This window comes from Homo sapiens, chromosome 3 (assembly GCF_000001405.40).
Source record: "Homo sapiens chromosome 3, GRCh38.p14 Primary Assembly".
Lineage (NCBI taxonomy): Eukaryota > Metazoa > Chordata > Mammalia > Primates > Hominidae > Homo > Homo sapiens.
The window spans coordinates 56,293,794-56,310,342 of NC_000003.12; the positions used below are offsets into that span (position 1 = coordinate 56,293,794).

The 16,549-nt window shown below is 39.7% G+C and overlaps 1 protein-coding gene across 21 annotated transcripts in view; it reads right to left on the reverse strand.

The window, feature by feature from the left end:
• The window catches only part of ERC2 (ELKS/RAB6-interacting/CAST family member 2), a 960,157-nt gene that overhangs the window by 785,483 nt on the left and 158,125 nt on the right, over positions 1-16,549 (reverse strand). For 20 of the 21 annotated variants that reach the window (NR_132749.2, XM_017006156.2, XM_047447950.1 and 17 more), the window contains exon 3: positions 2,226-2,642. Coding sequence is in view for 20 of the 21 variants with exons in the window: in XM_017006156.2 (XP_016861645.1) it covers positions 2,226-2,642 (417 nt within the window). In the remaining variant the exon portion in view is untranslated. Of the gene's footprint in view, positions 1-2,225; positions 2,643-3,288; positions 3,313-16,549 lie in introns of all 21 variants that reach the window. The other variant, XM_047447941.1, reaches the window with a different exon arrangement.

Genomic DNA, 16,549 nt, shown 5'->3' on the forward strand with positions numbered 1-16,549 from the left:
TTGTGAGAACCAGCCAATCTCAGAAAACCCAAGATGAATTGTGTTTAGATTCATTTAAATGGAGGCAGCCACATAAGGCACCATCTAGTAAGTGCTATCAATGAGCAGAATCTAATTGCAGAAGAAGAATGACTCCACCCTGACCACAAGATCCCAACAAGGAGTGAGAAATGGTGCTGCAGATGGAGATTTCTCTGGCATCACAGCCTTGCTGCCCCTTGGCATCAAAATAAAACAGCAGCTTTTTCCAACTATAGTGATCCTCTATCAACTGCAGTTTTGAGATAACACAAGAAAAATTCCAAAATCCACAGTTAGTCTACATGCAAGTAACAACATGCCAGTAATTGTTGCTCCTCTTCTGTAAACTACATGAGAGGTCTATGAAGTAAGACATGGAGAAAATTACTTTCTGCTCTACTGTATTTGTTATCTATTGCTGTGTAACAAATTACCTTAAAATTGAGCAGCTTAAAAGAGTACACATTTATTATCTCACAGTTTCTGTGTGTCAGGAATCAAGGCACAACTTAAGTGGTTCCTCTGTTTCACAGTCTCTCACAGCCTGCAATCAAGATGTCATCCCAGGACCTGTCTTCTTATCTGAAGCTCGACTGGGAAAGGATCCACTTCCAAGCTCACTAAATGGCTGTTACCAGGTTTCCTTTCTTTGTGGCTGTTGAAATGAGTGCCTCTGTTCCTTACTGAGTGTTGGCTGGAGGCCACCCTCAGTTCCTTACCACATGGGCCTCTCCACATGGCAGCTTGCTTCATCAAAGCATGCAAGCTATGAAGGCAATAGAGTCTGCTAGTAAGATGGAAGTAACAGTCTTATGTAACCTAATCCTGGAAATAACATTGACATTCTGTTAATTTTGCCATATTCTATCATTTAGGAGCAAGTTATGAGGATCAACCAATACTCGAAGAGGATTATATAATGGTGTGAATTCCAAGGAGTAGGGATTATTGGAGGCCATCTTGGAAGTCTTCTCACCACATTCACCCTCTTGGAAGATGGATGGGAAGACCAGGCCCAACCAAAACATCTCTTTAAGCTTTTCAATATGAAACCAAGCCATGTGGTTTCCCAAGCATGTTGGTAAAGTATCATTAAAACGAAACAAGGAAGAATAGGAGTAGAGGACATTAAATTTGCAGACACAAAAGTCTTTTCCTATGTGCTAGGCAAATATAACCCACATCAGAGCAAATTCCTGGGAGCATCTGCACTTTTGCAAATCCCAACATGGAAGCCATGTCTTCCGACCAACCAAACAAGTGACTCACAAGAAGCACCACCATCTGAACAGGTATACTGCCAAGAAATCTAGTTTGGTCTAGAAGGAAATATCTTCTAGAATTTTTATTTATTGCTATAGAATAGTTTGAAAACATATTTAATGCCATTTTATTGCTTGTTATTTTCTGTGAGATCCACGTCTCCCTACAGCAGTTTTGCCTGCATGATACTTTTAAGGTCCATATCCACCACAGTGGCAAGGAACTGCTATTAAAATTTCAAACCTTGGCAGTCATCCACATTTTTTCTAAGCTCTACCCAACCACATATTCTCAGATACACGAGCATCCCAACATTGAATGGTGGTAAAAGGCCAGAGAGACTGCCTCTGAAGGACTTCAAATGATTTAATCTACTAAGGGCAAAACACATACTCAGAAAACCTGTAATACTCTGTCCTAGACAAATGTAAATGCAGACAAAAATTATCTTAACCCTAAACACTCAAAATTGGTCTGTGCATTTTACCATTCTTTCCCATAGGCTTTACTTTCTGCAAATCTCATCCCCAATTCAGTAATAAAAATATTTAGGGTCATTGTGTTGCTAATCCTATTTATTTTTTCCTTTAGAGAGATGATATTTGATAAACAACTAAACTGAATAGTACCATACCTAAAAGACTCTGAAACCACAGCCACCTGTGGGAAAGCAATTGTTTATAAACCAACTTACAGTTGATATGTCCTGTATATGCTTGGATCGCGGATATGTGCTGAATAATAATGGAATGCATGTGCAGTGAGCAAAGACTAATACAAAATTCCAGTTTAATGGTCTTAAGCCGGCAGGAAGGTCATAAAGCAGATGACAAAGGGAATTTTGTTAAGGATGTAGATATCTTCCAACCTGTGAAAATAACTTGATAACATATTTTCACTTATAAATTAAGGCTTTGGGGAAATACAGTGAATGCTCTTACCTCTCTAAGATGTATGTTTTCCTTCTCTTTCTGATCTAAAATCACTTCCAAGTGGCTGACCTGAGACTCAGCCTCTGCCATCCGCCGCGTTCGCTCATTGTCATCCTCCAGGCTTTTGGATGGCAAGCCTTTACTTTGCAACATCTCAAGAAGTTTTTTAATTGACTCATCTCGGGCATTGAGGGTTTGTTTCTGCGTTTCAATTCTCAGCTCCATTTCCTCTAATGTCTTCCTCAAAAGGAACAGCTCCTTAGCCTGCCTGTCATGCTCGGCTTGGAGCCGCCTAAAGTTCTCCTCGGTCAGCTCGATGGTGAAGTGCTCCGCTCCTCGGTTGCCACTCTCTTGCTGGAGGAGGTGGTTGAGGTCTCTCTGGGTTCGCAGCTCATCTTGAAGGGCCTGGATTGTCAACTGTAGGTGCTGCAATGAGAAAGATGGAGCGGGAGAGGAGAAAGAAGGAAAAAAAGTCAATGAAAATGTCAAGTGCCGCTTGCTGCCACCACACTATGAAGATGGAATGTTAATCATGAGGTCCGGAGGGCCAGCCATGAATTCCTCCACGGTGACTTCAGAAGCATGGGACAGCACATGGAGAGGGGGAGATTAATTCAGTGATGCTTTCTGAATGTCTTGAGAGAAGAGAAATGCACACACACACAGAAACAATAGATTAGTGTCAATCACAAGGGAAATTATACATCTACAGAGTTTTAATTTAGGAAATGGAAAAGGTTAGAAGGAAACTTTCACAAACACACCTTCTTTATGCCCAGAATGCTCCAGACTCAGTATTCCTTGTTTCCTAAGGTATTCTTTATTGTACTATCCATTATTTCCCACGATCAATATGTGGTGATTTAAAAATGAAAATAATAGCATCCACTACAAGTAGACACAAACAAAGACTTTATTTTTTACAAATAAAGCTGTGAACAGGTTTAGTAAACAGGATTACTGCATCTGCAAGCAAAAGGGAATAAATGCAGGCACAGACAAACACACTCAAACACACAAGGAGGTGAGGCTGCACAGAGCAGAACAAACAAGCTGCAAAGAGTGGACAAACCTTGGTTCTTCTGGCATCCAGTAACTGAACAGCATGGTAAATGAAAAAAAAATGAAGCAAAAAATCAACACAAAGAAAAGTCCAGTGCAAGCAAAGGATATTTAACAGAAAGAACTTAACACAAAGTACCTTCACAGAAGAAGAAAAAAAAAAAGAAAAAAAAATTCTAATTACAGCAAAGACCCATAAGCTACATGGAGTTTATAGCATTGACGTTTGATAGACATGGAAAAAAAAAAGAAAGACCAAACCTGAGGTTTATCCCACCTTTTGTTTTCCTAAATCTCACTGACCCAGAAACAGAAAGTCTTGAAAGTATTACTAGAGAGGGAAGCAACTGTTATTTTGGGTCACCATTTTAAGCAAAGTCAGAGTGAAAGCACCAGAGAAACAAAATAGTTATCAGATGTGAGAAAAGGCACCCGTGCTTGAAGATAGTTGATGAATTTGGCAACACCTTTCCCCATAGGACAAACCCCCAGGCTGGTCAGAGAAGGCAGCCACAAGCCTGAAGGCATTTCTATCCCTATGGACAAGCCAAGATGCTTCCAAGACAGCAGCTGTTCATTCGCCAAACACATGATCCTGCTTGTGGAATGAACACAGTGCTAAGCACAGGAATCAAGAGGGACATAAGACATAGCTCCTGCCCACAGGGAACTCACAGTATTGTAAGGCATGGGGTAATACTATAAGTTATATGAATATTGGAGCAGTCAACATTTTGAAATCTTTCTGAATTCCTATAGCTGACACTCAGAGGTATTGAGATCTTTCTGAGTGTGGCCTACACCCAGAAACTAGCACTGGGTGATGCACCATCTTGATTATATTGTTTCTGGGTATCCAATTCATATTCCCATTTATGAATGTCCATTGAGAAATTATTAGAGCATTCTCATCTGTATACCACAGTGCCTCTCAGGGTATTGAATGCAGAGAAAGAAACTGATATGTATTTAATGATGGAGGTTATTCATTTTTAATACAATGCTCCCCTATAAAGTGTAACATACAAAGTTGTACAACCATCAACACAATAAATTTTTTAACATTACCTCAGAGACACCTCATGCCCTTTAGCAGTCATTCCCCATCTCCCTCCCTTTCCCCAGGCCCTGGTAACCACTGATTTACTTTCTGTCTTTATGCCTGTTATGGACCTTTCATATCAATGGTATCATGCAATAAGTGGTTTCTTTCACTTAGCATGTTTCCAAGGTTTATCCATGTGGTAGTGTGCATCTGTACTTCGTTCCTTTTTATGGCTGAATAATATTCCATTGAACGAATATACCACATTTTATGTATCCATTCATCAGTTGACTCAGACACAAATATTCATAGCAGCAACATTCATATTAGTCAAAAAGTGTTAACAACCCATTTGTCAATCAACTGGTGAATGGATGAAATCTAGTATATCAATTTAATGGAATATTATTCAGCCATAAAAAGGAATGAAGTGCTGACATACAGGATAAGATGGATAAATCTGAAAACATTATGCCATGTGAAAGAAACCAGTCACAAAAGACCACATATTGTATGATTCCACTAATAGAATGTCCAGAATAAACATATCCATAGATGGAGAATAAATTAGTGATTGCTGGGGGGTGTGGAGTAAATGGGGGGACTCTAAAGGGTATGGGGCATCTTCTAGGGTGATGAAAATGTTCTCAAGTTAGATAGGGGTGTCCTTTGCACCACTTTGTGAATATACTAAAACCAACGAATTTCACACTGTAAATGAGTGAATTGTATGGTACATAAATTATATATCAACAAAGTTGTCACAAAAATCATGAGGTGGGACCATAAAGTAATCTAACCTTCCTCTACCAACCCGCTGTCCTTAAACCACATTAGAACAGAGTCCACAGGAGTATCCGCAGCCTTCAGCCCAGAGATGCGGCTGCAGCCAAGACTCTTGAAAGAGTGCTTTGGCAACTGTCTTTGAGGCATTTTATATATCTATATATATATACATATATAGCTAGATAGGTAGATAGTTTTTTTTTGTTTTTTTTTTTTGTTTTTTTTTTTGTTTGTTTGTTTTTTGAGACAGAGTCTCGTCCTGTCGCCCAGGCTGGAGTGCAGTGGCGCGATCTTGGCTCACTGCAAGCTCCGCCTCCCGGGTTCACGCCTTTCTGCTGCCTCAGCATCCCAAGTAGCTGGGACTACAGGTGCCCGCCATCACGCCCAGCTAATTTTTTTGTATTTTTAATAGAGACAGGGTTTCACAGTGTTAGTCAGGATGGTCTCGATCTCCTGACCTCGTGATCCACCTGCCTTGGCCTCCCAAAGTGCTGGGATTACAGGCGTGAGCCACCACGCCCAGCTAATAGATTTTTTTTTTTTTTTGAGACAGAGTCTCACTCAGTCCCCAGGCTGAAGTGCAGTGGCATGATCTTGGCTCACTGTAACCTCCACCTTCTGGGTTCAAGTGATCCTCCCACCTCAGCCTCCCAAGTAGCTGGGACTATAGGTGTGCGCCACCACACTCAGCTAATTTTTGTATTTTTTGTAGAGATGAGGTATCACCATGTTGCCCAGGCTGGTCTCAAACTCCTGAGCTCAAGTGATCCACCTGCCTCAGCCTCCCAAAGGGCTGGGACTACACTTGTGAGCCACTGTGTCCGGCCGTCATTTAAATATTCTTGACCATGGCAAATCTTTGTCCTTTGAAGGTGGCTTGGATTTCTGAGATGATCCAGGTTTATCTGGAGTCAAACATCATGAATTGGGATGATCACAAAGGAAATGATCTTTTCTGAGCATAACCAAAAATAAGATTGGTCTTCTTAAGATTCGTAAACCAGCCAGAAGGAAATTCCAAAGAAAAACTGCCAAATGCTTTGAACAGAAACAGCAACATTGGAAAGACCACTCTGTGAGGGAGCTGCCCCTTTGAATGGACACATTCCTTATTGCCCTGATCCTTTGTCCCCACATCTACGCAGTGGGGATAATCATAATGCCTACTATAGGGTTCCTGTGGGCAATAATGAAGATAAGGTGGCAAGTGCCAGGTTTGACAGCAACGGGAGGGAGGAAGGATGGCAGAAGTGAAGGAAGATAAGAAAGAAGAAAAGCAGGAAAGAAGAAAGGGAGCAGAGGAGAATGGAGGGAAAATTGGTCCATTTATCCATTCAATATACAGTTACTGAGTATCTCCCTCATACTCATGAAATACAAAAAAAAAAAAAAAGAAAAACAAAAGAAAAAAAATAGCCCATATTCAAAGTCTATGTGGACAAGTAAACCAATAGAAGCAACACTATGTCATGAGGGTTACAATAGAAGTCATAACCAGGTGGCTAGAAATGCAGAGAGGAGGGAACCCAGGCTAGGGGCATGTAGGAAAACATCCCAAACCAAGAGGCCACCAATAAACTATGTCTTATTTGAAGGGCAAATGAGAGTCATCCCTGTGAAGAATGATGGAAAGAGAAGAGAAACTGTAAAAGCAAAGAGGTAAGGACAGACCAGATCTATTAAGAAACAGTGAAAGCAAAAATCTGTATATCATTTGTAATACCACATGCCATGCATGGTCCTAAGGTGTCTTAATCCTCAGAACCACCCTAAAAGGTAGCAACTGTTATGATCTCCACTTAATGCATAAGAAAATGGGGACAAAAAGTACTTAAGTAACCTGCTCCCAGTCACCCACCTACGTAAGTGGTACAGCCACAGGTGTTCATCCAAACACTTTGACCCCAATGCCCCTGTTCAAACCACGACATCATTGGCCTCTGAATTGGGACAAATGCTTCAAGATGGCAGGAGAAAAGGATGGGGAGGGGAGAAGTAGTAAAAGCAGACAGGTAGGCATTTATAACAGAAATAGAAATTCTCAAAAATAAGAATTAGCCATCTTGGCTGGGTGTGGTGGCTCACACCTGTAATCCCAGCACTTCGGGAGATCAAGATGGGAGATCACTTGAGGCCAGGAGCTCAAGACTAGCCTGGGCAACATAGAGAGACCCCATATCTATTTAAAAAGAAAGAATTAGCCATCCTAACCAGGCTGTTCCTTATTCAGAAGTGGTTACGATGGATGCTTCCAGGCTGTACATTTATTAAGAAGCAAAATCTATTTTTCAGGTAGTCACACTATTAGTCACTAAATGACTTCAGCATGATGAAGCAATCTCATAATCACCATAAAATTTAGTGTTCAAAATTTTCTCAAATTCATGTTTATATTTTCATTTTCTTTTAATTTTTCATTTTCTTTTAGTTTTCATTTTCTTTTAATTTTAAGATATTCAAAATCAAATAGGAATCTTGTTCCTACAAAAAAGATTTTTGAGGAAAATACATACCTTGTAGATCCTTGATCATCCTTTTGCTTTACATAATTGAAGACGGGGAGGGGATGTGAAGTAATCTTATCCATCCTCCCTCTCCCCTCTTCTCTCCCCCTCCTACTCTCTTCTTTCTCATTGTTCTACTTTTTAGCAATTCAACTCAATCAAGTTTCAAAACTCATTTACCAAGCTGGGCACAGTGGCATATGCCTATAGTCCCAGCTACTTGGGAGGCTGAGAGGATCACTTGAGCCCAAGAGTTCAAGACTAGCCTGGGCAACATAGGGAGACCCTGTATCTAAAAAAAATAAAAATAAAAAAAAAAATTACCAGATTTTCAGTTATGTATTTAACATAGACAATTTCAATTATAAAATATAATAAGAGAAATAATCCATAGAAATTGATAAACTTTCTGTGCCTCGGTCTCCCCATTTGTAAAAGGAGGAGAGTAGTAATTCCTTCTACCTTGGAATCATTAAATTTAATGAGGATAAATCATTTAATGGGGATTAAATGAGTTAATACATATAAAGCTCTAGAAAGTACCACATGCAGAGTAAGACATCAATCAGGATAGGCTTAGGATATGCTGCAGTGACAATAGCAACAAAAAACTATATTCAGAAAGACATAAACCATCTGCTGCCAGGGAATAGGAACATTCAGAACTCAAAGAAACCTTAAAGACTGCCTTATTAACCTCATTTTATAAACAAGAAAATTGTATCCACACAGATGAAATGACAGGCTCAAGAGCAGATACACACTGACAAAGCCAGAATCTGGGTTTCTGGGATCCTGGACTCAGTCCTGGTATGTATTTCAATAACCCTAAGAGTAGACCAAAAGGGGGTAACTGTACACTTTGACTAGGAACTTTGACAACTGTACACTTTGACAATGTAGGAAATGGCCATGGTGTCTCTGACAAGGAGGATGAGAGATACCTAAGTCACTTCACTTCCATGTCACCGGGTCCTATCCAGTAGTTAAATCACATGGAATGATCCAAGGACAATTTATTTAAGACTTCTTTTCTAAGTACTCAGAATTAGACTGTGTAAATATTGGAAGACATATTCAATAAAAACTAGCTCTAAAGGACCAGGATACAATACAAGTGAACGCTCTAGCAAAGCCACAGCACCTTCTCTCTGAGTGAAAGGTACGAAAAACTGCAGTTTTCAATTTCCTCCTCCAGAGGGGGTTCCTTCAAGCCAAATCATCTACCCTTTCCCAACTATGAAAACACACTTCTTTTAAGACAGTCACCCAAACTCCACTGGCATTCATTTCATCTTGTTACCTACAGCAAGTACCTACAAACCAGAATTTGCATGACTGTATTCTAGGGCCATCTCTTTGGAATCTCCCAGGCATCACTGTGGTCTCAACTTCTGAAAGCTTCAGTCATTCTTTCTGTGGCTTCCATTCCACTGCACATCAGGACAGAGACCTTCCAATACCCACTTGCACTAGGAAAGGACATTACCAGGTGATCCAATCTCATGCCTGGGTCCCAGTCAAACTGCTGTCAACTTAGCACTTACAGCACAGCTTAGCGCTTATGGCAAAACAGCTAATTCTCCTCAAGTGCAAAGTGAGTCTGTGGTTGAATGAGGGCTCAGAAAGGTTTTTACTCGCCACCCTGTTTCTGGGATCATTCTCCAGTTGTCTGCAAAGATTCAAAATTCAAAAGGCAAACTCCATTCTCCACTGTCTGCCACTGGAAAGATACCCTGGAGGAAAGTAAAGCAACTGTGACAATGGGAATCCAGGATGCTGTCTGCAGTCACTTTGCTAGGAGCACAAATAGAATTTTTTACATTTATCCTGATACTTGGCTTTTAACCCAATCCTGTTTAGCCTTTTTCCAAACTTAGTTGCATACTTTAAAGTCTCCCCTGGATAGTAAAGACTAGCCCCATCTCCAGTCCACAAAAGGGAAAAAGCTTAAAATGACTCATCTGTGCATTAAAAATACGCAAATGGAAGGGGAGATAAATAGCTTGGTGTGTCCAATTTATTCCCAGTTTCAAACATGCAGCTCTGGTATACCATCCCAGGACAATGAAGGAGGTCATAATGACTTCCATTTCTAGGCTTCCGGGAGACTGCATTTTCTGATAGGCCCTCCTCTACACTACAGCTAGATAAGAGCAAATATGCTTTTCAAAGCATAGTTGAGCTTACAAGGAAGTAAGGGAAATCTCCAAGGGAGGGGTTGTGGGAGAGAGCACTCTCTGGTCTCTCTTCCTCTTCTTATAAGGAGCAAATGCCAATCTAAGCACTGAGCTTGAGAGAGCGAACTGGGACTCACTGAAGCGAGGGAACTGAGATTCTTCTAGCAAGCCCATATTTGCAGAAGGGTTGAATGTGGTCCTAAGTGCCCCCTGGCGCCTAACAGATGCAAATGCAAATCCTTGTAAGGGGGACAGGCAGTGGGTGGGCAAGGACTGGGAGAGGCGATTAGGCAGAGAACAAAAGCCCTCAGGAGTCCAAAAAATTCAGATTAATGAAATACAAGCTTACAATAAAAAATTACCACAGACACAAGGAAACTTCCACGAGTGATGGCCATATGCAAAATATAAGGTGTTTTTGAAATGTTTAAGAAAATAAATAAATATTTCAGCAGAAATATAGAATTGAAGAATCAGCATGGAAAAGTGACTCTCCAAAATTATCAACCAGATCTGAAAAAGAATAAAAATATACAGCAATGAAAAATAAAGTATTTAAAGTGAAACCTAACAGATGGGGTAAGAAAAAAGAGAAAACTAGTGAACAAAGACACAATGGAGATAAGCCACAAACAAAATGATGCTTCTTTGAAATGACTAATAAAACAAGCCTCTTCAGAAATGAGTACACATAGGAAATATTTAAAAGGTGATATGAAAATACTGTTAACTTTGGGCCAACAAATTTTGAAATGTCAAGAAAATGGACAAACGACTAGTCATATCTTACATAATCTGACTCTAGAAGAAACAGAAATCCTGAAGAGTTCTGCAGCTATTAAATAAATAGAATCAGAATTTTAAAACTCTTCCTGCAAAGAAAGCCCAGGTGATTCCAATTTGCAAAAACTTTCAGATAAATGGAAAGTCTTCATTCTGTGAGACTTGATCATCTTGACACCAAAGCTAGTAGGCATGAACTATACAAGAAAGGTACCTTCTAGTCCAAACTTCACACTTAGACGATGAGTATTATTAGCAAGTGGAATACAGGGATATATTAAAAAGGTAATACATCATGCCCAAGATGTGTTTCTCATAGGAATTAGAGGATACTTCAGCATTAGACAAAGTATTCTATAAATAATGTTAACAGAGTAAAGATGAAAAATAATTATGATCAGCTCAAGATATAAAGTCTTAGTGTTTTCTAAAAATTGTTACAAACTAGAAATAAAGAGGAATTTCTTTAACTTATAGAGTATATCTGCTGCAAACTGACAGTATCATTCTTAATGGTAAATGTTAGAAGCATGCCCCTTAAAATGAGAAATAAAATTACGCTATTATAAGCACCACTTGTAGAATGTTGCATCAGCCTTCTCCTGGAGGCTTAAGTTAGGACAGTAAGACCAGAAAATAAGGAGAAAAAAATAATAATTCAAAAGAAGGAAAGTTCTATTATCATCAATTGTATTATGTGGTTTTCTACTTAGAAAACCCAAAAGAATCTATAAATTATTAAAAATAAGAAAGTTATTTCCTTATCAGCAGGGCACAAAAAATGTAGCCATAAAAAGAAGAGTAGTAAATTTGACAATGTTAAAATTAGGAATTTCTGTTCAACAAAAGATACTATAAACAGAATGAAAAAACAATCCACAGTTGAGAGATGATGCTTGCAATACATTAAAATGACAAAAAATTATTATCAAGAATATATATAGAATTCCTATAATTCAATAAAAAAGTACCAACAGTTAATTGAAAAATGCACAAAAGAAATGAGCAGGCATTTCACAGAACAGGAAATACGATCAGCCAATAAACATATGAAAAGATGTTCAATCTTATTAGTAATCAGAAAACCACATGAGCCATATGGAAGCCACAACAAGAAAGCATTTTATACCCCACTCTCTTATCCACACACACACACACACACACACACACACACACACACACACACTATAATAATCATAATAGCAGCAGCAAAAATAAATAACAATAGCAAGTACTGACAAGGATGTTGATCAATAAGAACTCCTAACACAGCTGCTGCACGTAAACTAGTGCAACAATGCAAGAACTCACCATGCATATCCTCACCCAGAAATTTTACCCTTAGGTACCTGAATTTGCCATACCTGAAGCCGGGATGGCAAACTACGGCCTAAGGGCCAAATCTGGCCTTTTGCCTGCTTTTGTAAATAAAGTTTTAGTGGAACACAGCCATATCCATTGACATATATATTGTCTTTTTTTTGTTTGTTTGTTTTTTTGAGACAAAGTCTCATCTGTGGCACAGGCTGGAGTGTACTGGTGCAATCTCAGCTCACTGCATCCTCCACCTCCCGGGTTCAAGTAAGTCTCATGCCTCGGCCTCCCACGTAGCTGGGACTACAGGCATGCACCACCATGCTGGCTAACTTTTGTATTTTTAGTAGAGACGGGGTTTCTCCGTGTTGCCCAGGCTGTTCTCGAACTCCTGACCTCAAGTGATCCTCCCGCCTCGGCCTCCAAAAGTGATGGGATTACAGGTGTGAGCCACGGCTCCCAGCCTTATATATTGTCTATTGCTACTTTTGTAGTACAATTGCGAGTCAAGCAGCAGACACCATATGACCCATGAAATCTAAAATATTTACTAACTGGCACTTTACAGAAAAAGTCTGCTGGCCCCTGCCCTAAAGAAATACTTGTACATGAGCACAACAGACACATACAAGAACATTCAGTACAGCACTATTCCTAATAGCAAAAACTAGAAATAGTCCATCAACAGGAAAACAGATAAATTATGACATAAGCATGTAATGGGATGTTAGATTATTGTGCAAAAGAACAAATGACAGCTACATGCAGCAGGAATTTATCTTAAAAGAATATTGAACGGAAGAAGTAAAAACAGAGAATATATACAACATCATCTCACTTAGACAAGGTTCAAGGGCATGATTATCATAACACAGAAGAAGAAATAGAAACTGAGAAGCACTCATGTGTAACATCAACAGGATGGGTAATTTTCTCAGGTGGGGCAGGGAGGCTCTCCAGGTGTTCATGTTAGTATTATATACCATAATTTACATACGTGTTCTTTTGTACCTATCCAACAGCATAGAATAATCTCCTTGGATGAACCTGTGGGAGGAGTATAATATAGTGTGTAACAGCCCAGACTCTGGAGCCAGGCTGCCTGGTTCCAATCCCAGCCCTATCACTTTCAAGCTGTGTGATCTTGAGAAAATGTCTCAGCATCTCTGAATCTCAGATTCCTCATCTGTAAAACAGGGATGCAAGACCTACCTTACGTCACAGAGTACACACAAATCATAACTTCAGTGGCAAGCATGAGCTCACAATATGCTCAGCATCACTCCCCACGTATCAGCAGAGCCTGTGCCTACAGCCATCCTCCTTCACCCTGCATGGTTGAATCAGAGGCCAGAGCCAGGGCACTGTGATACACACTGGCCCTGGTGCAGAGGTGCACTGATGGATTATCACAGGATCCAGACAGGAAGGTGGCCTACCAAGGGCAGGGGGTGTAGGATATAGTCTCATAATCATGATGTTTGGCTAGAAAATGTCTGCACATGGCTCCTAAAGTGAATTCACAAAGAACGAGAAGCCAACTTCAACATCAGCAGCACCTGAAATCATCACCTACCAGGTCAACAAGAAAAATGTATATATTTTTTGCCTTTCCAAAGTAAAGAAGCAACCTGAATCCTTGCGTCTTATCTCAATTTATCTTTTCCATGCAGTGCACAATTACAGTGTAGGGAGGAAAGTATGGGTTTTGAGCAATATTGGCTGAGAGTCTCTCAATTACCAGAGCTCAGTTACTGAATCTCCCCTAAGCCATAGTTTGGTCATCTGTAAAGTGGGGATAACAGTGTAGACCTCACAATGTTATTCAAAGGCTTCAGTGAGACACTGTGTGTTCCTCTAGACAAGCCCTCAAGAAAAGCGAGTCCTCAACTTCAAATACTGGTGACATTGGAGCCAAAATGCCAAGACCATTAACCTGGTGTACTTCTTTAACCAATCAGGCCACTGAAACATTAAGCATCCTCATGGCTTTTACCAGACTGTGTTTCAATAGTGTTTCCCCAAATACGTTCCCTGAAACAGCATTCTGCAGATGTTAATACGTGTTCTGTTGGGGGAGTAGTGGAAAGGAAGGGTTCTATTGTCATGTATCATATAATCATGTATTCACTATACACACACTTGCACACACACACACACACACACACACACACACACAGAATGACCCTCTCAAGGACAGTTTCTAATTTTCATAATGAAGTATAGAAGAAAGGTGAGAGGACCAGAGGGAAACTGTCTCACCAGACCGTCGGCACAAGGGAACAATTTCAGAGAGAACAGGTTTCCATTCCTCTTTGCTTAGCTATAGCTAGATTGAGGGGCTGGGGGTGCAGAGAGTTTCCTTAACCTTGGATTACTCTGTCCTGTCCTCTCCATCAAAACTCACATGCCTCACATCCACCACTCACTCATCTGACAATACTGCTCCAAAGCTGCCAACACTATGTCCACTTCACAAGAGCATAAATTGTGGTGGCTTAGGGGATTTGACTGCAATCACATCATTAGCAGATACAGGCCAGTGTCTAAAATTGAGGTTTCCTCCAGCCAATTCTACAGTCTCCCCTGCTCTAAAAATACTACAGAATTTCATCTTGAACAACTCATATAAGCTCCTATATTCATTCAGTTCTGAAAGAAGTTACAATGAAAATACAAGAAACTAAGCCCTACTTGAGTTTATATAAAAAAGAAGGAAAAATACACTTTGCCTTAGCCAACGTTTATAAGAGTGACTTCCAATAGCTACTGGAGTCAGAATCTAATCCAGATCTCAGAAGTCTAAAACACAGAAAGGTAACTAGAATGAAAATATAATTATATATGTATGATGTGCATGGAACACACAATTATTTAAATAGGGAATAGCCAGATGTTTAGAATCTACTGTGTCTTATCTCCAAACATGGAAAATATGAGCTCCTGGCAGGTTTGAAAAACTGTGTGACCTTAAGCTCTTTTCCACACTATGGGGAAAAAACAAAAATGATAAAGTTTTGCACTGTAAAGCAGCTTAGGGTTTCATTGCTATGAAAACCGTCTCCAAGCTATATAAAAATATGAATTGGCTTATATCCAAAAGTCGTGAAGTTTTTTTTTTTAATAAATCCATACTCCTTCTCAAGCAAGTACTTACCATAACTCTTTCAAAGAAAACAGAATCTCTTTGCAGACAACTTGGCCTGCTTTACTTCTCCTGTGACTTTATTTTCTTATTAATCACTTCCTAGTTTGTCTGTAATTAATGTGAAGGGCAGGTTCTCTGATCCCTTTCTCTGTAATCCTATGTACAGGCTGTACAACACTCTTCATGACTTCAAATCTTCCTTAGGCTGTGTCATGTGTGTGAAAAGACAAACAGCAGACCAGCTGAAAACATGTGGCCCCAGTGTGTGGTGGAAGAGTTGGCCTGCTGAGGGAGGTATAAAAAATTAATATTTAGACATATGGTCTAGCCTCTAGGCTTTCTCTTTTGGGGTAGAATACCCCAAGGAGAAGCACATATAACTAAATAAAGAATATGGATAGGTGATTTTTAAAAGCACTGGGACTCTGGGTTCCTCACCCACACACTGTCATTGATAACTGCATAACTCACTTTGGTTGATAATATGTGACGTTTTGCCAAGATTCATAGCACTAAGAACAGTATACATGGGAAAGCCCTCTTGGCAGTTGCTTTTGTACACAAAGAGGAGTTCTGGTTTTCATTACAGACCAATACTCTAAGGTGGCACAATATTGGAATACTGCACTGAGCTTAGAGTTAAGGACTTAAGTTCTAATTCTAGCTTTGCAACTAACCAGTTACGTGATCTGGGGAAAAATCACTAAACTTGTCTCAGCTTCCGAGAACAGTGGTGAAGAGTTGAGTTTTGAATCCTGGATCTACCCATGACAGCCTGTGATGCCTTGAACAAATTACTTAAGTACTCTGAGCATCAGGCTACTCATCCGTAAACAGGAAATAATAATTGTAACTCACTACAGGGTTCATACAAACACCACAGGAGATGCTTACTGAGTGAGCAAACAAGTTCCCTTAAAGCCTGAAGCACAGGGCTTGGCACATAATGAATGCTCCACAAATGTTAGCTATTTTCATTATTTTGAGACACTGGTGGTGGCTAGAGGCCTGGAATTAAAATTTCTGTCCTCCCTCCTCCGATTTGGGCAGGGAAAAGAAACGGGCATAATGAACATAAATCTTTGATTATCAAATAAATGCAACAGTGGGAAACAAAATGCTAAGCGCTTTGGCATTTTTTTAAATAAGAGAAAAAGGGAAATAGATGTTTTAAGACCAATTCGAAGATGGATATAATTTATTTCACATTAACTGACCTGTAAATAACTCTACAAGGGACTCTCAGGAATACCAACCATTTCTGTTTTGAAGGTCAGTGTTCTTTCCCTGTTGTTAGCCAGTAATCCACAACCAACTAAAGGATAATGGCATGCCCTGTTATCAACACTTCTCAACCTGATACAGGTTACAAAAAAAACTACAGTTTAAGAAATACTGGTATTTTAAAAATGTGTTGAGAAGCTACCCCAAACGTGTAATGATAGAAACGATAGCTAAAATAGAAACGCTTATAATATTAACAGTCACAGCCATATACAGTTATTATAGGA